The sequence below is a fragment of the Homo sapiens genome, chromosome 17 (genome assembly GCF_000001405.40).
Source record: "Homo sapiens chromosome 17, GRCh38.p14 Primary Assembly".
Lineage (NCBI taxonomy): Eukaryota > Metazoa > Chordata > Mammalia > Primates > Hominidae > Homo > Homo sapiens.
This window is the reverse complement of record NC_000017.11, coordinates 78,846,885-78,871,739: the sequence shown is the minus strand read 5'-3', so window position 1 is coordinate 78,871,739 and position 24,855 is coordinate 78,846,885. Positions and strand designations below refer to the sequence as shown.

The following is a 24,855-nucleotide window of genomic DNA, read 5'->3' as shown; positions in this document are numbered from 1 at the left end:
CGAGTAGCTGGGACTACAGGCGCCCGCCACCACGCCCAGCTAAATTTCTGTATTTTTAGTAGAGACAGGGTTTCACCATGTTAGCCAGGATGGTGTCGATCTTCTGACCTCGTGATCTGCCTGCCTCGGCCTCCCAAAGTGCTGGGATTACTGGTGTGAGCCACTTCGCCCGGCACAGATGAGTCTTGTGCTCACCTGCTGTGATCTGCCACACTAAAAGTTGAGTGACTCCAAAGAATCACTTTGCTATAAGAAGTCTTTTTCTTTTCTTTTTTTTTTTTTTTTTTTTTGACGGAGTCTTACTCTGTCATACAGGTAGGAGTACAGTGGCGCCATCTCAGCTCACTGCAACCTCCACCTCGCAGGTTCAAGCGATTCTCCTGCCTCAGCCTCCCACATAGCTGGGATTACAGGCGCTTGCCACCATGCTCAGCTAATTTTTGTATTTTTAGTAGAAACAGGGTTTTGCTACGTTGGCCAGGCTGGTCTCAAACTCCTGACCTCAAGCGACCTGCCCACCTCAGCCTCCCAAAGTGCTGGGACTACAGCCATGAGCCCTGAGCCCAGCTGGAACGGTCTTTTCCTAACCCATGTATTTGCACTTCCTGGTCCTCTTGGGTGCTGGCTGTACCCCAGCTACAGGTTGTGCCGCCCAGGGTGTTCTGGATGGGAACGGAATTCACCAACTGTGTGGCCTCCCTCTGCTTACATGTCCTCCTCCTTGTCTTTCCAGATGTTCAAAGGGCCTGAGAAGGATATAGAGTTTATCTACACGGCCCCCTCCTCGGCAGTGTGTGGGGTCTCGCTGGACGTTGGAGGAAAGAAGGAATATCTCATTGCAGGTGTGTATGAGTGGGGCCATCAGCCGGAGGCTGGCACAGAAGTGGGGCTGTTCCTAGACGCGGTCCAGGGCTCGTTTCCCAGGCTCGGGGGGTGGGGAGGCGGAGTAGCTGAGGAACAGTGAGGCAGGGTACGGAGCCCTCTCGGCCACTTCCCGTCAGAGAATGCTAGTGAATGTTCACTACCTGCCAATTTCCTGGGAAATTTGAGATTGGTGGACAAAAAAAAGGGAGCATTTTTGCCTTTTGTTCCTAAAAGGGAGGCGAGTGCGGGATGCTGGAGACATGCAGGGCAGAGAAACCCTTTCTGCCGTCGGGAGGGCCAAAAGCTCGCGTAACATCTGTGGATACTATGCACGAGACCTGCTTGACTTATTCATTCATCTGTCTCCTTTTTTTATTGTGGTAAAATAATACGTAACAAAATGTAGCCATGTTAATTAACCATTTTCTTTCTTTCTTTCTTTCTTTCTTTCTTTTTTTTTGAGACAGAGTGTCGCTCTGTCGCCCAGGCTGGAGTGCAGTGGTGCGATCTTGGCTTACTGCAACCTCCACCTCCTGGGTTCAAGCGATTCTCCTGCCTCAGCCTCCCGAGTAGTTGGGATTACAGGCACACGCCACCACGCCCAGCTAATTTTTGTATTTTTAGTAGAGATGGGGTTCTACCGTGTTGGTCAGGCTGGTCTCGAACTCCTGACCTCAGGTGATCCACCCACCTCGGCCTCCCAAAGTGGCAGGATTACAGGCGCGAGCCACCGCGCCCGGCCAACCATTTTCAAGTGTACACTTCAGTGGCATTAGATACATTCGCTATTGTGCAACCATCACCACCATCTGTCTCCACATCTTCCCAAACCAAAACTCCGTCCCCGTTAAACACTAACTCCCCCTTCTCTCTTCCTCAGCCTTGGCCCACCTCCATTTTACTTTCTGTCTCTGTGGATTTGACTACTCCAGGGGCCTCACATGGGTGGAACCCTGCAGTGTTTGTCCTCTCTGTCTGGCTTATTTCAGTAGCATCATGTTTTCAAGGTTCGTTCACGTTACAGCATACATCAGAATTTCCTTACTCTTTTTTTTGTTTTTGAGACAGAGTCTCGCTCTATTTCCCAGGCTGGGGTGCAATGGCACTATCTCGGCTCACTGCAACCTCCGCTTCCCAGGTTCAAGCGATTCTCCTGCCTCAGCCTCTCAAGTAGCTGGGATTATAGGCACACGCCACCACACCTGGCTAATTTTTTTTTGTATTTTTAGTACAGACAGGGTTTCACCACGTTGACCAGGCTGGTCTCCAACTTCTGACCTCAGGTGATCCGCCCACCTCAGCCTCCCAAAGTGTTGGGATTACAGGCGTGAGCCACCACACCCGGCCCAAAATGTCCTTACTTTTTAAGGATGAATAATATTTCATTGTATGAATGTAGCACATTTTGTTTATTGTTGCATCTCTTTGTTTATAGTTTTTTGGTTTGTTTTTTTTTTTTTTGAGACAAAGTCTTGCTCTGTTTCCCAGGCTGGAGTGCGATCATGACTCACTGCAACCTCGATCTCCTGGGGTCAAGTGATCCTCTCGCCTCAGCCTCCCAAAGTGCTGAGATCAACTACAGGTGTGTGCCACCACACCCAGCTAATTTTTTTATTTTTTGGTAAAGAAGTCTCACCATGTTGCCCAGGCTGGTCTTGAACTCCGAGGCTCAAGCAATCCTCCTGCCTCAGCCTCCCAAAGTACTGGGATTATAGGCGTGAGCCACTGTGCCCAGCCTATATTTTTATTCCTAAGTAAAATTATTTTCCCTTACTTCCTTCTACGGCCTCCTCTGCTTGCCCAGCTAGGCTGAACCACAGGAGGCCAGGACAGGATTCTCAATCTCAGCACTATTAACATTTGGGGATGGACCATTCTTTGTTGTGGGGGCCTACCTTATGCATTATAGGATATTCAGCTGCATCCCTGGCCCCCACCCTCTACATGCCACAGCACCCGCTCCAGTCGCGGGGTCTCTGGACATTGCCACATGTGCCCAGGGGAGGTGGGGTAGATTGCCCCTGCTTGAGAACCACTGGGCTCAAAGAGCTTTCTGCAGTGATGGAAGCGGTCTCTGCACCATCCAGTCCAGCAGCCCCCAGCCTTGTGGCTCATGAGCACCCGAGATATGGCTAGTGCAGCCGAGGAGCTGCATTTTAAATTTTATTTCATTTCAAGTAATTTTAGTATAAATGTAAACAGCCACATGTGGCCGGCAGCCGCAGTCTAGCATGGCACTGACTCAGCCAGTTAAGGAACATTATTCCCCTCCTCCCTGGGGAAGTAGGAATCTGATCACAAACTTAAGAAAAAAAGAATAGACAAGGCCTGGTGCAGTGGCTCATGGCTGTAATCCCAGCAATGTAGGAGGCTGAGGCGGGCGGATTGCTTGAGGTCAGGAGTTCAAGACCAGCCTTGCCAACATGGTAAAACCCTGTCTGTACTAAAAATACAAAAATTAGCTGGGCGTGGTGGCAAGTGCCTGTAGTCCCAGCTACTCAGGAGGCTGAGGCATGAGAATCATTTGAACCCAGGAGGCAGAGATTGCAGCAAGCTGAGATCACGCCACTGTACTCCAGCCTGGGTGACTGAGCAAGACCCCATCTCACAAAAAAAAAAGAGAAAAGAAAGAAGAGACAAGACAATTCCCCTAGCCTGGTACTATAGTTTGTTCCAAAAGGCAACTGTAATCATAAACATATACTCCAAATCCAAATATCCATGATTGGGGGATTTTCTTCTGGTTTAGGTGACATGTACTTTTTTCCCTTCTAAAAATCAATGTGTGCTTAGTGAGCACCTGTTAGGTGCCCAGCCCCGTGTTAGAGACAATGGGAGATTCCCACGGTGAGATCCTTGGCTCTGGTCATCATGGAGCACACAGATGTTCCGAATGGGGAGACTGGAAAAGAAAGAAAATAGATTTTGCTTGTGGAGAATTGTGAATAGTAAGTGAATGCTTAGAAGGTGCAAAAGGGGCCGGGCGAGGTGGCTCACGCCTGTAATCCTAGCACTTTGGGAGGCCGAGACGGGCAGATCATGAGGTCAGGAGATTGAGACCATCCTGGCTAACACAGTGAAACCCCGTTTCCACTGAAAATACAAAAAAAAAATTAGCCGGGCGTGGTGGCGGGCGCCTGTAGTCCCAGCTACTCAAGAGGCTGAGGCAGGAGAATGGCGTGAACCCGGGAGGCGGAACTTGTAGTGAGCCGAGATCGTGCCACTGCACTCCAGTCTGGGCGACAGAGTGAGACTCCATCTCAAAAAAAAAAAAAAAAAAAGAAGGTACAAAAGGAAGAGAGACTCTCACAGGTCCAAGGGTCTAGACAGACTTGCTGCTGGAAGAAGGTGGTGTCCTTGCCTATGGATGGGGAGGAGGTCATTGCAGGGAGGAAGATGCAGGGCTGTGAGTTGGGCAGGGAAGACTCCTGTTATCTCCCCTTGGGTAAGATCTTCCCTCCCTTCCTTAACATGCTCACAGCTCCTGCTTTGCTGGGTATCTCGGTCATCAAGACTTCTATCCCTCTCCTTGGGGATAATAGGAGACTTCCCCCCCTTTTAAGATGCATTTCTGGACTTCCTAAAATGTTTTATTATGAGCACTTTTCTTATTCTCATTCCAAGACAGAGTCTCCCTCTGTTGCCCAGGCTGGAATGCAGTGGTGTGATCTTGGCTCACAGCAACCTCTGCCTCCTGGGCAATTCTCGTGCCTCAGCCACCCAAGTAGCTGGGATTACAGATGTGTGCCCCCATACCTGGCTAATTTTTGTATTTTTAGTAGATACGGGGTTTCACCATGTTGGCCAGGCTGGTCTTGAACTCCTGACTTCAGGTGATCTGCCCGCCTAGGCCTTCCAAAGTGCTGGGATTACAGGCGTGAGCCACCGCGCCCGGCCTACAATTCAGTGGTTTTAGTATGTCACAGAGTTCTGCAACCATCACTACAGTCAAAAAGAAATCCTGTATTCTTGAGCTATTACCCTCCTGACTCCCCTCCCCCTCCCCCAGCCCTAAGCAGCCACTGGTATACTTCCCGTCTCTATAGATTTCTCTATGCTGGGCTTTCCTGGGAACGGAATCATACGTGTGACCCTGTGTAACCGGCTTCTTTCGTGTTTCCAAGGGTCATCCATGTTACAGTGTGTATCAGAATTTCATTCCTTTCTATGACTGAGTATTCCACTGTATGGATAGACCACGTTTTGTTTATCCGGTCATCATTTGATGTGCATTTGGGTTGTTGCCACCGTTTGGCCATTGTGACAAATACTGCAATGAACATTGGTGTGTGAGATTTTGCAGGGACCTGTTCTCATTTTTCCTGGGTGTATCCCTGGCAGTGGAATTGGTGGGGTCGGGGGTGGGGAGGGGTTGGGTGACTTTAGGTTTAACCATTTGAGGAGCTGGCAGACCGTTTTCCAAAGCAGCTGCACCATTTTACACGCCCAGTATTATCTATGATTTTTACAATAAGAAAAAAAAAATCAAATGGAGAAGGGTAGAGGGACAAAAACCACCTGTGGTGCAAAGATCTTACCAGCTAACTAATGCCCTCAAAAAAAACACAGAGGAGGCAGGAGAGCTGGGGTGGCCGCACAGCACGCACGGTGGCGCGTGGCAGAGGCATGGTCTGCAGTGTGGCATTCGGGGGCTGCTGCAGCTGTGCACAGAACAGAGCACGGGAGGAAATTTCCCAGCGTGTCAGCATCTGCTGTGTCTCCTTTTCAGTTCTTTCCTGTATTAAACCTTTAAAATTATGGCATTTATTACGTTTGTCATCAGAAAAATAAAATCTGGAGAGACAAGAAAGGAGACAGAATCCCCCGTGGTGCAGGGAACTTACTTCCAGTTTTCTGCATCCTGTTTGTTCCTATCCACAGGGAACAGCCTTTAAAGTAAGTCCCAGCCGTCCCAGCTCAGTTTCGTCACACTGCCCTCTAGGGGCTTTCTGGCCAAACTGCAGCGCTGCGGAAGGACTCTTGGGTGCAAAAGTGACCTTGGTCTGAGCCAGCACCGGTGTCCAAACATACCCAGCTGAATCCTCGCCCATGCTGAAGCTCTCTGTTTGTTTTTGTTTTTGTTCGAGATGGAGTCTCTCTCTGTTGCCCAGGCTGGAGTGCAGTGGCACAATCTCGGGTCACTGCAATCTCTGCCTCCCGGGTTCAAGCAGTTCTCCTGCCTCAGCCTCCCAAGTAGCTGGGATTACAGGTGCCCAACACCACGCCCAGCTAATTTTTTTTTTTTTTTTTTGAGACAGAGTTTCTGTCTTGTTGCCCAGGCTGGAGTGCAATGGCGTGGTCTCAACTCACCACAACCTCTGCCTCCCGGGTTCAAGTGATTCTCCTGCCTCAGCCTTCCGAGTAGCAGGGATTACAGGCATGTGCCACCACGCCTGGCTAATTTTGTATTTTTAGTAGAGACGGGATTTCTCTGTGTTGGCCAGGCTGGTCTCGAACTCCTGACCTCAGGTGATCCGCCCACCTCGGCCTCCCAAAGTGCTGGGATTACAGGTGTGAGCCACCGCACCTGGGCGGCATTAAGTACATTCACAGTGTTGTGTAACTATCACTATCTATTTCTAGAAGTTTTTCATCATCCCAAACTGAAACTCTCTCCCCATTAACCAATAATTCCCTGTTCCTCTGTTTGCCCAGCCCCTGACAACCACCTTTCTACTTCGTCTCCATGAATTTGCCCATTCTAGACACCTCGTACAGGTAGAGTCATACCTCCTTCCATAGCTGAAGCATTGCACTTAGCATAATGTCCTCAAGTTCATCCATGTTGTAGCATGGGTCAGATTTTATTTTATTTTATTTATTTATGAGACGGAGGCAACAAAGCCCAGGCTGGAGTGCAGTGGCGCGATCTTGGCTCACTGCAACTTCCGCCCCCCAGGTTCAAGCAATTTTCCTGCCTCAGCCTCCTGAGTAGCTGAGGTTACAGGCATGCACCACCACGCCCAGCTAATTTTTGTATTTTTTTAGTAGAGACGGGGTTTCATCATGTTGGTCAGGCTGGTCTTGAACTCCTGACCTCAGGTGATCCGCCTGCCTTGGCTTCCCAAAGTGCTGAGATTACAGGCTTGAACCACTGCACCCGGCTGGTAGATTTTATTTCTTTTTATGTGCATACATTTTAAAGTTTCCAAAATATGTAATACTCTTCTAAGTTGAATTCTATATATGTTTTCAAATTGTTAACATTTCCATTAACTTTTTAACTCAGATACTACTTAGTATCTCAAGGAGGAGGCACGAGGTTTTGATGAGGACACAGAACTAAAGGTGCCAAGTGCAAACAGTTTATTGCATAAAGAAAATAAGGAAATGGGCTGACCATAGTGGCTCACACCTGTAATCCTAGCATTTTGGGAGGCTGAGGCAGGAGGATGGCTTCAGGTTAGGAGTTCAAGATCAGCCTGGACGATATAGCAAGACCCTATCTCTACAAAACAGGAAGGGAGGAAGGAAGGAAGGAAGGAAGGGAGGGAGGAAGGGGGAGGGAGGCATGGAGGAAGGGAGGAAGGGAAGGAGGGAGGGAGTGAAGGGAGTCAGGGAGAGAGGGAGAGAGGCAGGGAAGAAAGGAGGGAGGGAAGAAGAAGGAAGGAAGGAAGGAAAGAAGAGATGAGCTGGGTGTGGTCATGTGCACCTGTAGTCCTAGCTACTTGGGAGGCTGAGGCAGGAAGATCTCTTGAGCTCAGGCATTTGAGGCTGCAGTGAGCTAGGACTGCACCACTGCACTCTAGCCCAGGTGGCAGGGCGGGACCCTGTCTCTGTTTTAGAAGAGAAAAAGATAACGACTAAGTGTCATGAAAAGATGTGAAGAAATACAATGAGATGCCCGAGTGAAGGCTCTGAAAACACCTGCTCGAGTTCGAATGTGTGCTCTGACACCTGACTCGTTAATGTCCTTGGCCAAGTAACTTTACCTGTCTGTGCCTCCCATGCCGATCCGTACATGGGGGATGATGACAGTAGTATCTGCCCCACGAGGGGTTGTTGAGAGGATGAAAGTGGGAGTAGGAGACCAGAAATGATGATCACAGAGATGCTGGTTATCTTGGTCAGGCCCCACTCAAGGGTAGCTGATAATTTTATGTCTTACACTGGAGATGACAGTGACCCATACACGCAGCACAGCACTGCATGAAAAGCTGGTGAGTCGATACAGAGAGTCATACTGAAGGTCTAAGGAGGGCTAGGGTAGCCTGTAGCAGAATGAGCGTGAAGGCTCTGCTGAAAGGGCATTGCTCCCTGGACCTGTGGCGGGATCCTCGGTAGAAAGCTGACATTGAAAGATTTTGAAGAGCTTTAGTTAAAAAGTTAAAAACAGCCCAGCGCAGTGGCTGACGCCTGTGATCCCAGCACTTTGAGAGGCTGAGGCGAGTGGATCATGAGGTCAGGAGATTGAGACCATCCTGGCTAACACAGTGAAATCCCGTCTCTACTAAAAATACAAAAAATTAGCCAGGCATGGTGGCGGGCGCCTGCAGTCCCAGCTACTTGGGAGGCTGGGGCAGGAGAATCACTTGAACCCGGGAGGCGGAAGTTGCAGTGAGCCAAGATTGTGCCACTGCACTCTAGCCTGGGCGACAGAGCAAGACTGTCCCCCCACCCAAAAAAAATAAATAAAAAATAAAAATAAACCAATGTTGGCAAGGCTATGGAGTAAAGGGAACGCTTAGGAACGCTTATGCGCTGTTGGTGGGAATGTAAACGAGTTCACCCACTGTGGGGCACACTTTGTAGATTTCTCAAAGAACTGAGAAAGCAACTAGCATTTGACCCAGCAATCCCACTGCTGGGTGTATACCCAAAGGAAAATAAATCGTTCAACGGCACTGCGCCCGTATGTTCATTACCGCACTATCTGCAATAGCAAAGACACAGAATCAACCCAAGTGCTCATCAATGGTGACTTGGATAAAGAAATGTGGTGTATATATACTACGGAATACTACGCAGCCGTGAAAAGGAGGGAAATCATGTCCTTTGCAGCCACATGAGTGCAGCTGGAAACCATTATCCTAAGGGAACTAGTGCAAAAACAGAAAACCAAATACCACATGTTCTCACTTAAAAGTGGGAGCTAAACATTGGGTACACATGGTCATAAAAATGTGAACAAGAGACACTGGGGAATACAAGGAGGTGGGAGGGAGGAAGCAGGATAAGGGCTGAAAAAATTCTACCTATTGGGCGCTATGCCCACTACCTGGGCGATGGATCCGTTCATATGCCAAACCTCAGGGACACACAATATACCCATGTAACAAATCTGCACATGGACTTCCTGTTTCTAAAAATCAACAAAGATTGTGAGACCTGCCCAGTGGCCAGCTGGCTGTGTATCTTCTCCACCAATGAGGCTGCATTACTTCATCCTCCTCTCCCTGGGAGGGGGAGCAGGGGTGAAGCTGTTAATGGCCACAGTGGCTGACTCACCTCATGGCGAGAGGAACCTCTCTCATCTGACTTCTTTCCCAGCCTTGGTCAGATGACTCCACATTGAATCTGGCATTTATTTCCCGAGGCAGGAACCTAGATCCAGTTTGCCTCGAGTCAGGATAGACCCTTTATCCAGGGGCTAACCAGAAATCACAGGGCACAGTGAACCACTCAGCTCTGGCTGGCTGTGGCCAGTGAGTGACCGCATGGCCTGAGCGGGCCACCTCCTCCTGGACCGATGACTCAGTCTCACGTGTCGAGTCGGGCACCAGGAGACTCATACAGAGTTGGCCCTGTAATTTTCTTCTACATTCCTCTTCTCCAAAAGGAAAAATAAACATACAACCCTTCGTTACAAATTTTAATTCCCGGTTTTCTGTAACCCAGACTCATGCCTCGCTTTTCTCGGAGACAGACATAAGTAGAACATCGCTGCAGATGCTCACGGTGTGTACACCCAACCAAGTCTTAATCAGACCAGAGGCGGTCCTCTCTTCACATTTATACATGACAGCCACGTTCATGTTAGCCCAATAACTAGGACCATTGAAAAGATACAATTTTTTGGCTGGGCGCAGTGGATCACTTGAAGTCAGGAGTTCAAGACCAGCCCAGCCAACATGGTGAAACCGTGTCTCTACTAAAAAATACAAAGATTAGCCATGGGTGGTGGCGCATACCTGTAATCCCAATTTTTTGGGAGGCTAAGGCAGGAGAATGCTTGAACCTGGGAGGCAGAGGTTCCAGTGAGTCGAGATGGCACCGCTGCACTCCAGCCTCGGTGACAGAGCAAGACTCCGTCTCCAAAAAAAAAAAAAAGAAAAAATACAATTTTCACTTCATCTCTTCTTCCTGCCATTGCTTACCTCCTGAGGAAGCCAGAATTGGTGGTAAAAGGCCAAAAGAGAAGATGGCAGGAAAAGGCAGAATGTGAAGCATATCATTAGAACAAGCACGGGTGTGTCTCATCAGTAAACTTATTGAGCAATTACTATGTGCAGGGAACTGTGGAAACAAAAGGGTTAAGACACAGCCCTTACTCTCTATACGTACTCTCTGATTAAGGAGCGAGATGCAGAAGAAAGGCAAATCTAATAGAAAGTGGGAGTTAATGCTGGTCAAGTGATACATACAGTGGAAATCACCATAGAAGCTGGGAAGCCAGGATAGAGCTTCAGCCTGTCTGTAGTGGCAGGTGCCCAGGCTGGACAGGGAAGGGGCTGCGGTATACCTGTATGGGCGCCAAATGCCAGAATCAACCAGGATACAGGAATGGGTTCCTTTCCATCTGTCTGTTTTGCTCCTTCCTGATCTATTCTGAACTCACAGAAAATAGCTATAGGTCTAGTGGGGAAAGTTATATATCTAATTTTGATTTTTTTTTTTTTTGAGACGGAGTCTTGCTCTGTTGCCCAGGCTGGAGTGCAATGGCGCGATCTTGGCTCTTTGTAACTTCCACCTCCCGGGTTCAAGCGATTCTCCTGCCTCAGCCTCCTGAGTAGCTGGGATTACAGGCATGCACCACCACCCCCAGCTAATTCTTATATTTTTAGTAGAGACGGGGTTTCACCGTGTTGGCCAGGTTGGTCTCGAACTCCTGACCTCAAGTGATCTGCCCACCCTGGCCTCCTAAAGTGCTGGGATTACAGGTGTGAGCCACCATGCCCAGCTAGTTTTGAATTGTTTAAGGCCACCCAAACATTTACCTTATGAAGTTATAGGATTTGGAATAAATGTTACAGGAGTAATTCTACTTTCTCATCCTGTTCCTCACCTGGAATGTCACATAAGTCTAAACGGAGAAAAGGACCCGAAGATAAAGGAACAGCTAGAACAGGAAGTGCGAGCATAAGAATTCAAACCCAGGGAGCTGGCACAATGAGTGCCCCGTGCCCAGGACAATGGAGGCCACTTGTGTCTGCTTGGAGCCCCAGGCAAGCCATCCACATTTCCATGGCACAGGGGTGCAGTCGATGAGCTGCATTAGTCCTTCGCTGGGCTGTGTTTCTATTAGTGGATCCTCTGAGGCTGGTGCTGTGCCTGAGATCATTAAGTCAGATGCGCTGAAACTTTGTCAAACAAAAGTGCTTAGGGCACAGCCTGAGGCTCTGTCTGCTTCTCAAGGAATTGCCCATCAGTCTCTGCCAGGCGTGGGTGCTCATCACTGACACCTGTGTCTCTTCACAAGGGGCTGTTGTAGCAGGAGGGATGAGGTTTTTTTTGTTTTTGTTTTTGTTTTTTTTGTTTTGAAGACAGAGTCTTACTCTGTCACCCAGGCTGGAGTGCAGTGGCTTGATCTTGACTCACTGCAACCTCCACCTCCTGGGTTCAAGTGATTCTCCTGCCTCAGCCTCCTGAGTAGCTGGGACTACAGGCACCCGCCACCACACCCGGCTAATTTTTTGTATTTTTTTTATTTTATGTATTTATTTGAGATGGAGTTTTGCTCTTGTCACTGAGGCTGGAATGTAGTGGCATGACCTCTTCTCGCTGTAACCTCTGCCCACTGGGTTCAAGCGATTCTCCTGCCTCAGCCTCCCGAGTAGCTGGGATTACAGGTACCCACGACCATGCCCAGCTAATTTTTGTATGTGTAGTAGAGACGGGGTTTCACCATGTTGGCCAGACTAGTCGCAAATGCCTGACCTCGAGTGATGTCCCTACCTCAGCCTCCCAAAGTACTGGGATTACAGCCATGAGCCACCATGCCCTGCCTGAAAGATTAGTTTTTATTTTATTTATTTTTTATTTATTTTCTTTTTTGAGATGGAGTCTGTCTCTGTCGCCCAGGCTGGAGTGCAGTTTGCAATCTCGGCTCACTGCAACCTCCACCTCCCGGGTTCAAGCGATCCTCCTGCCTCAGTCTCCTGAGTAGCTGGGATTACAGGCATGCATCACCACGCCTGGCTATTTCTTTTTGTATTTTTAGTAGAGACGGGGTTTCGCCATGTTGGCCAGGCTGGTCTCGAACTCCTGACCTCAAGTGATCCGCCCACCTCAGCCTCCCAAAGTGCTAGGATTACAGGCATGAGCCATCGCACCTGGCCTGAGGGATGAGTTTTTAAATGACTTCCATAGCTGTCATTAGGTTCTGTCAGCCACTGGAACACACTGCTTTGTTCTTTTCCTCCTGCTTGTAAAACGCCAAGGCTATTGCCAATGTAGTATCTTCAGCAAAGGAAGGAGGCAGCTGAGTCAGGAGCCGGAAGTACAGAAAGAAGCCACAGCTCATCATGCCTGATGAAGGGAATTCAGAGCAGATTCCTAATTTTCAAAAATTCCATGCTTTGGCTCTTCATAATGGAAAAATGCAGAATTATAAGTTTAAACTCAAATGGGAGAAGCACCTGTGAATTAATATTTTGTGAAAAACAAAACAGGAAACAATATAATCTACATACTGCATGACGTTTTATGTGTGAAGATGCACATAGAAGAGAATATTGGCCGGGCGCAGTGGCTCACACCTGTAATCCCAGCACTTTGGGAAGTCAAGGTGGGAGGATCACTTAAGCTCAGTTCAAGACCAGCCTGGGCAACATGGTGAAACATCGTCTCTATCCTTTTTTTAGAATAAAATTTAATTTAAAAGAATATTGGGGCCAGGCGTGGTGGCTCATGCCTATAATCCTAACACTTTGGGAGGCCAAAGTGGGGGTATTGCTTGAGCGCAGAAGTTTAAGACCAGCCTGAGTAACATAGCAAGACCCTGTTTCTACAAAAAAAAATATAAAAAATTAGCAGGGTGTAGTGGTTCACACCTATAGTCCCAGCTATTCAGGAGACTGAGACGGGAGGATCGCTTGAGCTTGGGAGGTCAAGGCTGCAGTGAGCTATGATCATACCATTGCACTCTGGCCTGAGCGACAGAGCAAGACTGTCTCAAAATCAATAGTGGAATATTGGAAGGAAATACATCAAAATATTAGCTGTGGGTAATGAAAGTAGGGAATTTTTTTCTTTTCTTTTTTTTTTTTAGACTGAGTCTCGCTCTGTCGCCCAGGCCCAGGCTGGAGTGCAGTGGCACCAACTCGGCTCACTGCAACCTCCGCCTCCCGGGTTCACGCCATTCTCCTACCTCAGCCTCCTGAGTAGCTGGGACTACAGGTGCCCGCCAGCACGCCTGGCTAATTTTTTGTATTTTTAGTAGAGACGGGGGTTTCACCGTGTTAGCCAGGATGGTCTCGATCTCCTGACCTTGTGATCCACCTGCCGCGGCCTCCCAAAGTGCTGGGATTACAGGCATGAGCCACCGCCCCTGGCCAGGAAGTTTTTTCTTTGTTTCCAATGTTTAAGTTTCTGTCAGTGAACATGCATTATGGCTTTCTTTTTTTTTCCACTTTTTATTTTTTTGAGACGGAGTCTTGCTGTGTCACCCAGGCTGGAGTTCAGTGGCGCGATCTCGGCTCACTGCAACTTCCGCCTCTGGGGTGCAAGAGCGATTCTCCTGCCTCAGCCTCCCAAGTAGCTGGGATTACAGGCGTGTGACACCACACCCGGCTAATTTTTTGTATTTTAGTAGAGAGGGGGTTTCATCACGTTGGCCAGGCTGGTCTTGAACTCCTGGCCTCAAGAGATCCACCCGCCTCAGCCTCCCAAAGTGCTGGGATTACAGGAGTGAGCCACCGTGCCTGGCCACCCACTGTGTTTTAACTCAGAATAGACAGTGCACAGGATTGTTGCAACGAAATCCCAGCGCCCCTGCGCCGGGTGGAGGAGCTGGGCAGGAGGAGGACTTTTCCCTCTCCCTGAGCTCGGTGATCCCCGTCTCTCCGCAGGAAAGGCCGAGGGGGACGGCAAGATGCACATCACCCTCTGTGACTTCATCGTGCCCTGGGACACCCTGAGCACCACCCAGAAGAAGAGCCTGAACCACAGGTACCAGATGGGCTGCGAGTGCAAGGTAAGCAGGTCCTGCCTCTGCTGGAGCATCGCCTCCTCCCAGTGTCTCCAGATGGACGGCAGGGATTTTGATCCCTGGCTTTCCAGGACCCGTTAATCCCCGGCTCCTGATCTAAGACCAGGCTCTGGGAAGGTAGAGTCATCCCAAGAGTAAGGCTGTCTGGCTGGGGACAGAGCCTTTGACCCCTGGTCCCTGGAGAGCCCTGAGGCACATCTCTGACAGGGGATGTCTGGAGGCCGGGCGCTGCGGCTCACGCCTGTAATCCCGGCACTTTGGGAGGCCGAGATAGGTGGGTCACTTGAGGTCGGGAGTTGGAAATCAGCCTCACCAACATGGCGAAACCCTGTCTCTACAAAAATACAAAAATTAGCCAGGTGAGGTGGTGCACGCCTGTGATCCCAGCAACTTGGGAGGATGAGGCTTAAGAATTGCTTGAATGTGGGAGGTGGAGGTTGCAGTGAGTTGAGATCACACCACTGCACCCCAGCCTGGGTTGACAGAGTGAGACTCTGTCCCAAAAAAAAAAGAGGGAGATGTCTGGAAGGCTAGGAGATTTGAGAGTAAGAGCATGAATTCAGCTCTGTTACCTGTAGCTTCCAGAAAAAGGAGCTGTATGGGGAGAGAGAATATGGTCCCATGGAGAATTTTCTACAAATGTGCAAGTGCAAACGCCTGTGTGGCTTATGAGAAGGCACTGCAGGCCTTACGCTGTTTCCAACATTCCCGACATTTTCACACCTGGGTTGGTGTCTATGTGGGGTCTGTGTGTTGAGAATACCTGAACACCTGCTCCTCTTAAAATGAGCCCGGAGGTTGTGCCAGGCACAGCTGGAGCAGTGCAGCGCCTAGATGTGGCTGTGGAAGGTGAGATTACCGCCTCCAGGGCTCCCAGGCTGGCTCCTACCCTGTGGGCTCCTAGCACCCTATCCCCACCCTCCCTGCAGGAAGCATGGCTGAGTGCTGGGCACCTCCCACCCTGGGTCACTCCCAGTGAGTCTGGGACCAGGAGACTCTGGTGAGGCTGTGGGGATTGGCCTTCCCTGGGGAGCTGCCTGGGGCTGCCCTCCCTCCTGACGGCCCCCAGCCCCTTCTCCGCATGTTCAAAACAGGAATTCTGAACTCATAGTCTCCAGCCACACGTATGTTAAGCGAAACTCCTCTGTGCCCAGCATGAAATCAAAAGCAAGTTTTTCCTTTTTCTTTCCACGGTGGTGAAGGCGGTCATCCTCTTGTAGCCTAGGGTTCCTTGGCCAAATTGCTAGTTGCCGATGACCTCGGGGCTCGGCTTGCGAGCAACACTGGGCTGGAATCTGTCTCCAGGAAACCCAGGCCCTTTTATTGTTGCTGTGTCCCCCAGAGGGCAGGGCCAAGCTGAGGCCATTCTGTCATGCTCAGGAAGGTAGAAGATGGCCCAAAGGGAAGCACACCTGCAGTAGGAGGGGGGGCAGCGGTGGGCAGGGCACAGCTTCCCTGCAGGTTAGACCCCCTCGCAGGCCAGCTGCCTGCCCCTGCAGGAACCGTGGGTCTCGGGAGAGGCTGCCATCCCTGCACATGACAGGTAGGCACATTGCCGGGTTCTGGACATGCCCCCAGAGCAGCCTCTGCCCACCCCTTCCTGGGTCCCTGACTCCGTCCCCCTCCGTGTGCCCCTCCCCAGATCACGCGCTGCCCCATGATCCCGTGCTACATCTCCTCCCCGGACGAGTGCCTCTGGATGGACTGGGTCACAGAGAAGAACATCAACGGGCACCAGGCCAAGTTCTTCGCCTGCATCAAGAGAAGTGACGGCTCCTGTGCGTGGTACCGCGGCGCGGCGCCCCCCAAGCAGGAGTTTCTCGACATCGAGGACCCATAAGCAGGCCTCCAACGCCCCTGTGGCCAACTGCAAAAAAAGCCTCCAAGGGTTTCGACTGGTCCAGCTCTGACATCCCTTCCTGGAAACAGCATGAATAAAACACTCATCCCATGGGTCCAAATTAATATGATTCTGCTCCCCCCTTCTCCTTTTAGACATGGTTGTGGGTCTGGAGGGAGACGTGGGTCCAAGGTCCTCATCCCATCCTCCCTCTGCCAGGCACTATGTGTCTGGGGCTTCGATCCTTGGGTGCAGGCAGGGCTGGGACACGCGGCTTCCCTCCCAGTCCCTGCCTTGGCACCGTCACAGATGCCAAGCAGGCAGCACTTAGGGATCTCCCAGCTGGGTTAGGGCAGGGCCTGGAAATGTGCATTTTGCAGAAACTTTTGAGGGTCGTTGCAAGACTGTGTAGCAGGCCTACCAGGTCCCTTTCATCTTGAGAGGGACATGGCCCTTGTTTTCTGCAGCTTCCACGCCTCTGCACTCCCTGCCCCTGGCAAGTGCTCCCATCGCCCCGGTGCCCACCATGAGCTCCCAGCACCTGACTCCCCCCACATCCAAGGGCAGCCTGGAACCAGTGGCTAGTTCTTGAAGGAGCCCCATCAATCCTATTAATCCTCAGAATTCCAGTGGGAGCCTCCCTCTGAGCCTTGTAGAAATGGGAGCGAGAAACCCCAGCTGAGCTGCGTTCCAGCCTCAGCTGAGTCTTTTTGGTCTGCACCCACCCCCCCACCCCCCCCCCCCCGCCCACATGCTCCCCAGCTTGCAGGAGGAATCGGTGAGGTCCTGTCCTGAGGCTGCTGTCCGGGGCCGGTGGCTGCCCTCAAGGTCCCTTCCCTAGCTGCTGCGGTTGCCATTGCTTCTTGCCTGTTCTGGCATCAGGCACCTGGATTGAGTTGCACAGCTTTGCTTTATCCGGGCTTGTGTGCAGGGCCCGGCTGGGCTCCCCATCTGCACATCCTGAGGACAGAAAAAGCTGGGTCTTGCTGTGCCCTCCCAGGCTTAGTGTTCCCTCCCTCAAAGACTGACAGCCATCGTTCTGCACGGGGCTTTCTGCATGTGACGCCAGCTAAGCATAGTAAGAAGTCCAGCCTAGGAAGGGAAGGATTTTGGAGGTAGGTGGCTTTGGTGACACACTCACTTCTTTCTCAGCCTCCAGGACACTATGGCCTGTTTTAAGAGACATCTTATTTTTCTAAAGGTGAATTCTCAGATGATAGGTGAACCTGAGTTGCAGATATACCAACTTCTGCTTGTATTTCTTAAATGACAAAGATTACCTAGCTAAGAAACTTCCTAGGGAACTAGGGAACCTATGTGTTCCCTCAGTGTGGTTTCCTGAAGCCAGTGATATGGGGGTTAGGATAGGAAGAACTTTCTCGGTAATGATAAGGAGAATCTCTTGTTTCCTCCCACCTGTGTTGTAAAGATAAACTGACGATATACAGGCACATTATGTAAACATACACACGCAATGAAACCGAAGCTTGGCGGCCTGGGCGTGGTCTTGCAAAATGCTTCCAAAGCCACCTTAGCCTGTTCTATTCAGCGGCAACCCCAAAGCACCTGTTAAGACTCCTGACCCCCAAGTGGCATGCAGCCCCCATGCCCACCGGGACCTGGTCAGCACAGATCTTGATGACTTCCCTTTCTAGGGCAGACTGGGAGGGTATCCAGGAATCGGCCCCTGCCCCACGGGCGTTTTCATGCTGTACAGTGACCTAAAGTTGGTAAGATGTCATAATGGACCAGTCCATGTGATTTCAGTATATACAACTCCACCAGACCCCTCCAACCCATATAACACCCCACCCCTGTTCGCTTCCTGTATGGTGATATCATATGTAACATTTACTCCTGTTTCTGCTGATTGTTTTTTTAATGTTTTGGTTTGTTTTTGACATCAGCTGTAATCATTCCTGTGCTGTGTTTTTTATTACCCTTGGTAGGTATTAGACTTGCACTTTTTTAAAAAAAGGTTTCTGCATCGTGGAAGCATTTGACCCAGAGTGGAACGCGTGGCCTATGCAGGTGGATTCCTTCAGGTCTTTCCTTTGGTTCTTTGAGCATCTTTGCTTTCATTCGTCTCCCGTCTTTGGTTCTCCAGTTCAAATTATTGCAAAGTAAAGGATCTTTGAGTAGGTTCGGTCTGAAAGGTGTGGCCTTTATATTTGATCCACACACGTTGGTCTTTTAACCGTGCTGAGCAGAAAACAAAACAGGTTAAGAAGAGCCGGGTGGCAGCTGACAGAGGAAGCCGCTCAAATACCTTCACAATAAATAGTGGCAATATATATATAGTTTAAGAAGGCTCTCCATTTGGCATCGTTTAATTTATATGTTATGTTCTAAGCACAGCTCTCTTCTCCTATTTTCATCCTGCAAGCAACTCAAAATATTTAAAATAAAGTTTACATTGTAGTTATTTTCAAATCTTTGCTTGATAAGTATTAAGAAATATTGGACTTGCTGCCGTAATTTAAAGCTCTGTTGATTTTGTTTCCGTTTGGATTTTTGGGGGAGGGGAGCACTGTGTTTATGCTGGAATATGAAGTCTGAGACCTTCCGGTGCTGGGAACACACAAGAGTTGTTGAAAGTTGACAAGCAGACTGCGCATGTCTCTGATGCTTTGTATCATTCTTGAGCAATCGCTCGGTCCGTGGACAATAAACAGTATTATCAAAGAGAACGTGGGCTCTCTCCGTGTGGCTGTATCCGATGTTCAGAACGGCCACTTCCTAGCTCAAGAATGGGAATCAGCCTCTGCAAGGAGCCTCTCCTGTCCGGCGGGAGGGGGCGCCCTGTGTCCTCCAGAGAAACAAGGCCAGTGAGCTCTGAGTCAAATATGGGATGCAGACCAGGTGTGGTGGCTCACGCCTGTCATCCCAGCACTTTGGGAGGCCAAGGCGGGTGGATTGTTTGTGCCCAGGAGTTCGAGACTAGCCTGGCCAACTTCGCAAAACCCTGTCTCTGCAAAAAATAGGCGTGGTGGCATGTACCTGTGGTCCCAGCTATTCAAAAGGCTGAGATAGGAGGATTACTTGAACCTCGGAGGCAGAGGTTGCAGTGAGCTATAATTGCACCACTGCATTCCAGCCTGGGCAAGAGAGTGAGACCCTGTCTCAAAAAAAAAAAAAAAGAAAAAAGAAAAGAAAAGTGCGATGCAGTGGCAGAGACGGGGCAGCAGAGATGGGACAGGTAAAAGCAAATGTGGTTTCCTTAGGTGGATGAAGGGGCAGAAGTGTAGGAGAGGGTCCCCTTCATTCAACACATACCTCTGGCTTTTTATTATAGAGACACGCAGAGCCATGCACCCGTCTCACAGCTTCGACACTGAGGGCTTCATGGCCAGCTTTAGACCTACACTCAGTCTTCACCCACCATTCACGAAATTATTTGGAAGAAAAAATTCCAGGCATGAAGCAGTCTCATTTATAAATATTCCAGTACACATATGTTTAAAAAATAAAAACTACTTTTTTTTTTTTTCAGACGGAGTCTCGCTCTGTTACCCAGGCTGGAGTGCAATGGCATGATCTTGGCTCACTGCAACCTCTGCCTCCTGGGTTCAAGTGATTCTCTTGTCTCAACCTCCTGAGTAGCTGGGATTACAGGTGTCCGCCACAACGCCCAGCTAATTTTTGTATTTTTACAAAAATACAAAAAGAGACAGGGTTTCACCATGTTGGTCAGGCTGGTCTCGAACTCCTGACCTTGTGATCCGCCCGCCTGGGCCTCCCAAAGTGCTGGGATGACAGGCGTGAGCCACCGTGCCCAGCCAAAAAATAAAAACTACTTTTAAAACCTTTTTCCAGGCCAGGTACGGTGGCTCACCTATAGTCCTAGCACTTTGGGAGGCCAAGGTGGGCGGATTGCTTGAGCCCAGGAGTTCAAGACCAGCCTGGACAACATGGAGAAACCCCAACTCTACAAAAAATACAAAGATTAGCTGGGTGTGGTGGTGCATGCCTGTAGTCCCAGCTACTCGGGGGGCTGAGGTGGGAGGATCACTTGAGCCCAGGAGGTGGAGGTTGCAGTGAGCTGAGATCGCACCACTGCACTCCAATCTGGGTGACAGAGTGAGATCCTGTCTCAAACAACAACAACGACAAAATCCAAAATAGCTTTATCACATGTCAAAAACTTACTTAGAATTCATCAATGTCATCAAATATCCAGTCAGTGTTCTAACATCTCTGACTGTCTCATAGATGCTTTTGCGTGGTTTATGGGTTTGAATCAAGACCCAAATAAGATCCATCCATTGCAGTTGGTTGATCTAACTCCTAGGTCTCTCTCTCTCTCTCTTTTTTTAAATAACTATTGAAGCTCCCCCTTCTTTCTTTCTTTTCTTTTCTTTTTTTTTGTTTTTTTTTTTTTTTCAGACAGAGTCTCGCCTCATTGCCCAGTCTGGAGTGCAGCGGTGTGATCTCAGCTCAACGCAACCTCTGCCTCGAGAGTAGCTGAGATTACAGGTGGGCACCACCATGCCCGGCAAATTCTTGCATTTTTAGTAGAGGCGGGGTTTCACCGTGTTGGCTAGGCTGGTCTCACACCCCTGGCCTCAAGTGATCTGCCCACGTTGGCCTCCGGTAAGCCACAGTGCTTGGCCTCCCGGGTCTCTCTTATTCTCCAGGTTGTTTCTCCCTGCCCCCACCCTATCCTTGTGCTGAGAAAGATGTTCCCATCATAATTCAAACTTCAATCAAAAGTCTCATAATACTTCACCATATGAAATTTTTTTTAATTTAATTTTATTTTTTTTGAGACAGAGTCTTGATCTGTCGCCCAGGCTGGAGTGCAGTGGCGCGATCTCGGCTCACTGCAACCTCCACCTCCCGGGTTCACACCATTCTCCTGCCTCAGCCTCCCAAGTAGCTGGGACTACAGGCACCTGCCACCACGCCTGGCTAATTTTTTGTATGTTTAGTACAGACGAGGTTTCACCATGTTAGCCAGGATGGTCTCGATCTCCTGACCTTGTGATCCGCCCGCCTCGGCCTCCCAAAGTGCTGGGATTACAGGCCTGAGCCACTGCACCCAGCCATGGACATTCTTCAATGGTGTATTTGAACAGTTAGCTGCCCCCTGGCCCATGTGCACACTGTTGTGCAGAATCTGTTATTCCAGGGGCAGCCAGAAGAATCGTGTTTCCTACTGTGTGCAGTTACTGCCCAAAAAGCAAGAACAAACTTACGACATCTGAAGTTTGCTCCAATGTCACATTAAATGTGATCCACTTAATATCTACTGCAGAAATATTTGGATTATTTCTTCTGTATGTCCAAATATGTAGGGAAAATGGTTGAGTGGTATACTATAATAATAATATCAAAACTTTCCATTTCATACAAATGAACTTACTTGGCATTTGCAGCCCACATTTGGAGTTTTAGTAAGCAGCACGCCAGGTGATTTATACCCTTTTCATATATTTATGCATTTAAGTCAAACTTAAAGTCATTATGGAAAATTTAAAACATATACAAAAATGCAGAGAATGGTATGACCAACTCCATGTGTCTATGATCTGTTTTCAACAATTATCCATGTTTTGCTGATCTTTGAAAACGATTTAAGATTAGTTTGTAGGCCGGGCGCCATGGCTTACACCTGTAATCCCAGCACTTTGGGAGGGCAAGGCGGGAGGATCACCTGAGTTCAGGAGTTCGAGACCAGCCTGGCCAAAATGGCGAAATCCCGTGTCTACTAAAAATACAAAAATTAGGCCTGGCACGGTGGCTCACACCTGTAATCCCAGCACTTTGGGAGGCCGAGGCAGGCAGATCACCTGAGGTCAGGCGTTCAAAACCACCCTGGCCAAGGTGGTGAAACCCCGTCTCTACTAAAAATACAAAAATTAGCCAGGTACAGTGGTGGGCGCCTGTAATCCCAGGTACTCGGGAGGCTGATACAGAATCGCTTGAACCCGGGAGGCGGAGGTTGCAGTGAGCCGAGATCATGCCATTGCGCTCCAGCCTGGGCGACAGAGCGAGACTCCATCTCAAAAGCAAAACAAAACAAAACAAAAAAATTAACTGGGCATGCTGGTGCACGCCTGTAGTCCCAGCTACTCAGGAGGCTGAGGCAGGAGAATTGCTTGAACCCAGGCAGCAGAGATTGCGGTGAGCTGAGATCGCACCACTGCACTCCAGCCTGGGCAACAGAGCAAGACTCTGTCTCAAAAAAAAAAGAAAAAGAAAAAATCAGTTTGTAGACTCACATATGGGGTAACGACATTGTTAGGGACACAACTAGACACCATTATTTCCTCTCAGTCTTGTTTACCCTGTGGAAGAAAAATGCATGGGGACAGGTGAGGTCAGCCTCAACCCATCAACAGAGATGTGTGCACCCATGATGGAAAAGCAGCAAGAGACCCTGCAAGATCCAATCTGAAGGGACATGGAGCCTGGTGGTGGAGCTGGGGAGCCACCAGGACTGGTTAAAGAACTTTGGAGCTGGCCGGGTGCGGTGACTCCTGCCTGTAATCCCAGCCACTTGGGAGGCCGAGCCAGAAGAATCACTTGAACCCCAGAGGTGGAGGTTGCAATGAGCCAAGATGGAGCCACTGTATTCCAGCCTGGGTGGCAGAGCGAGACTCGATCTCAAAAAAATAAATAAATAAAAATAAAATACTTTGGAGCTGATGGAAGAACTTGAGCCTAGTTATAGGACACACAGTAGCAGTATCTTTTCCCTCCTAATTTTTAATGGATATTTTTACCTGATCTAACTTTAAAAAATAATTAAATCCAAACAGTGGAATTACAATATTTTACTAGCATCAATTTTATGATAGGCAATTTGCTGTGACTATAGATTTTTTTTCTTTTTTTTTTTTTTGAGACAGTCTCGCTCTGTCACCCAGGCTGGAGTGCAGTGGCACAATCTTGGCTTACTGCAATCTCCACTCTGGGGTTCAAGCGATTCTCATGCCACAGCCTCCCGAGTAGCTGGGACTACAGGCACCTGCCACCACACCCAGCTAAGTTTTGTATTTTTAGTAGACACGGGGTTTCACCATGTTGGCCAGGATGATCTCGATCTCTTGACCTCATGATCTGCCCTCTCAGCCTCCCAAAGTGCTGGGATTACAGGCATGAGCCACCGCTCCTGGCCACCTTCTAACCATTTTTAAGTGTACAATTCAGTTAATTACACTTACAATGTTTTTATGGCCATCACCACTATTTCCAAAACTTTTTCACCACCACCCAGAAACTCTGTAACCATGATGCAATAACCCCCGTCCTCCTCCTCCTAGCCCCTGGTAACCTCTAGTCTACTTTCTGTCTCTATGGATTTTCCTATTCTAAATATTCTATCATCCTGCATGATTCCACCTATGTTATGTCCAGCTCACTTTGCACGTCTTCAAGGTCCATTGGTATTATAGCATGGATCCATGCTTCCTTCTTTTTCATGGCTAATATTCCATTGTGTGCATCTATTACATTTTGTTTATCCATTCATCCATCAGTAGACACTTGGGTTGCTTCCGCCTTTTGGCTATTGTGAAGAATGTGGCTATGAACATGGGTGTGCAAATATCTGTGTCCCTGCTTTTAATTGGCGTATATATACACACACACTTAGTATATGTATATAGATATCTATACACTATAGATATATGTAGATATATATCTACTATAGATATATAGAGCCATATATGTATATTCAACATTAACCTACATTAATACAACATTAATCTTTGAAGGAAAGGACATTAAGCTTGTTTCAAATTCAGCTTCTCTGATTCAGCATACATATATCTAAACTACTATATATTTATATATCTATATATACAGTATATATGTATATACACAATATTATGTATATTTGTATATATGTAGTATTATGTATAATTATTGCAATACAGTCCAGGCGCGGTGGCTCACGCCTGGAATCCCAGCACTTTGAGGGGCCAAGGAGGGTGGATCACCTGAGGTCAGGGGTTCAAGACCAGCCTGGCCAACATGGTGAAATCGCATCTCTACTAAAAATACAAAAAACTAGCCGGGCATGGTGGCGCGACACCTGTAATAGCTACTCGGGAGGCTGAGGCAGAAGAATCCCTTGAATCCGGGAGACAGAGGTTGCAGTGAGCTGAGATGGCACCACTGCACTCCAGACTGGGTGACAGAGCAAGACTCCGTCTCAAAAATAAATAAATAATAAAATTACAATATAATTATACATAATAGTACACAAAAAATTGTATTGCAATAATTAAGTCTGGAAGCATAATATATATATAGATAGTATCTATATCTACATACATAGTATATACGTATATCTATATGTATATACTATGTATATATACTGTGTATATACTATGTATATATACTGTGTATATACTATGTATATATACTGGGTATATACTATGTATATATACTATGTGTATATACTATGTGTATATACTATGTATATAGTGTAGACATATATACTATGTCTATACTGTATACATAGTGTATATATACAGTTTATATAGTATGTATAGATAGTATGTATAGTAGTCCTATGTTTCGCTTTTGGAGGAAGCACTGTCCTGTTTTCTGCAGTGACTGCACCATTTTACATGCCTACCAGCAGTGTCTGAGGGTTGGTCCGCTCTAAAGTTATTCTTCCTACACCTCCCAAAGTGGAATTCCAAAACCGCCTTGTTAGACCAGCCTGACAATTTACAATATTCATGGAAAGACACGTCCTAGTATGTTCAAAATTCCAAGGTTAAGATGCCTGGAAGTTATATTAAAAAAGTAAAACTGCTGTCTTTGC

The 24,855-nt window shown here is 48.4% G+C and overlaps 1 protein-coding gene and 1 long non-coding RNA gene across 2 annotated transcripts in view, besides 3 other annotated features; one reads left to right on the top strand and one right to left on the bottom strand.

Annotated features, from left to right (window-relative positions):
- The window catches only part of TIMP2 (TIMP metallopeptidase inhibitor 2), a 72,411-nt gene extending 53,648 nt beyond the window's left edge, over positions 1–18,763 (top strand). The window contains exons 3-5 of the mRNA NM_003255.5: positions 734–842; positions 14,094–14,218; positions 15,876–18,763. Coding sequence (NP_003246.1) covers positions 734–842; positions 14,094–14,218; positions 15,876–16,073 — 432 coding nt within the window. The 3' untranslated portion in view covers positions 16,074–18,763. The remainder of the gene's footprint in view (positions 1–733; positions 843–14,093; positions 14,219–15,875) is intronic.
- On the bottom strand, positions 3,510–9,515 carry LOC124904068 (uncharacterized). Its single transcript, XR_007065924.1, has 2 exons — positions 9,313–9,515; positions 3,510–3,766 (listed from the first exon to the last, which is right to left on the bottom strand). It is a non-coding gene; the product is annotated as an uncharacterized LOC124904068 (long non-coding RNA).
- Positions 7,587–7,787: a silencer, noted in NCBI's record as "peak3021 fragment used in MPRA reporter construct". NCBI's record gives its function as "represses an SCP1 promoter by STARR-seq MPRAs in K562 erythroleukemia cells {active_cell/tissue: K562}" and the evidence as "EXISTENCE:reporter gene assay evidence [ECO:0000049][PMID:32103011]".
- Positions 9,139–9,433: an enhancer, noted in NCBI's record as "tiled region #3779; HepG2 Activating DNase matched - State 18:Pol2, and K562 Activating DNase unmatched - State 5:Enh". NCBI's record gives its function as "activates a minimal TATA promoter and a strong SV40 promoter by Sharpr-MPRA in HepG2 and K562 cells {active_cell/tissue: HepG2 | K562}" and the evidence as "EXISTENCE:reporter gene assay evidence [ECO:0000049][PMID:27701403]".
- Positions 10,442–10,642: a silencer, noted in NCBI's record as "peak3020 fragment used in MPRA reporter construct". NCBI's record gives its function as "represses an SCP1 promoter by STARR-seq MPRAs in K562 erythroleukemia cells {active_cell/tissue: K562}" and the evidence as "EXISTENCE:reporter gene assay evidence [ECO:0000049][PMID:32103011]".
- Positions 18,764–24,855: the final 6,092 nt, after the last annotated feature.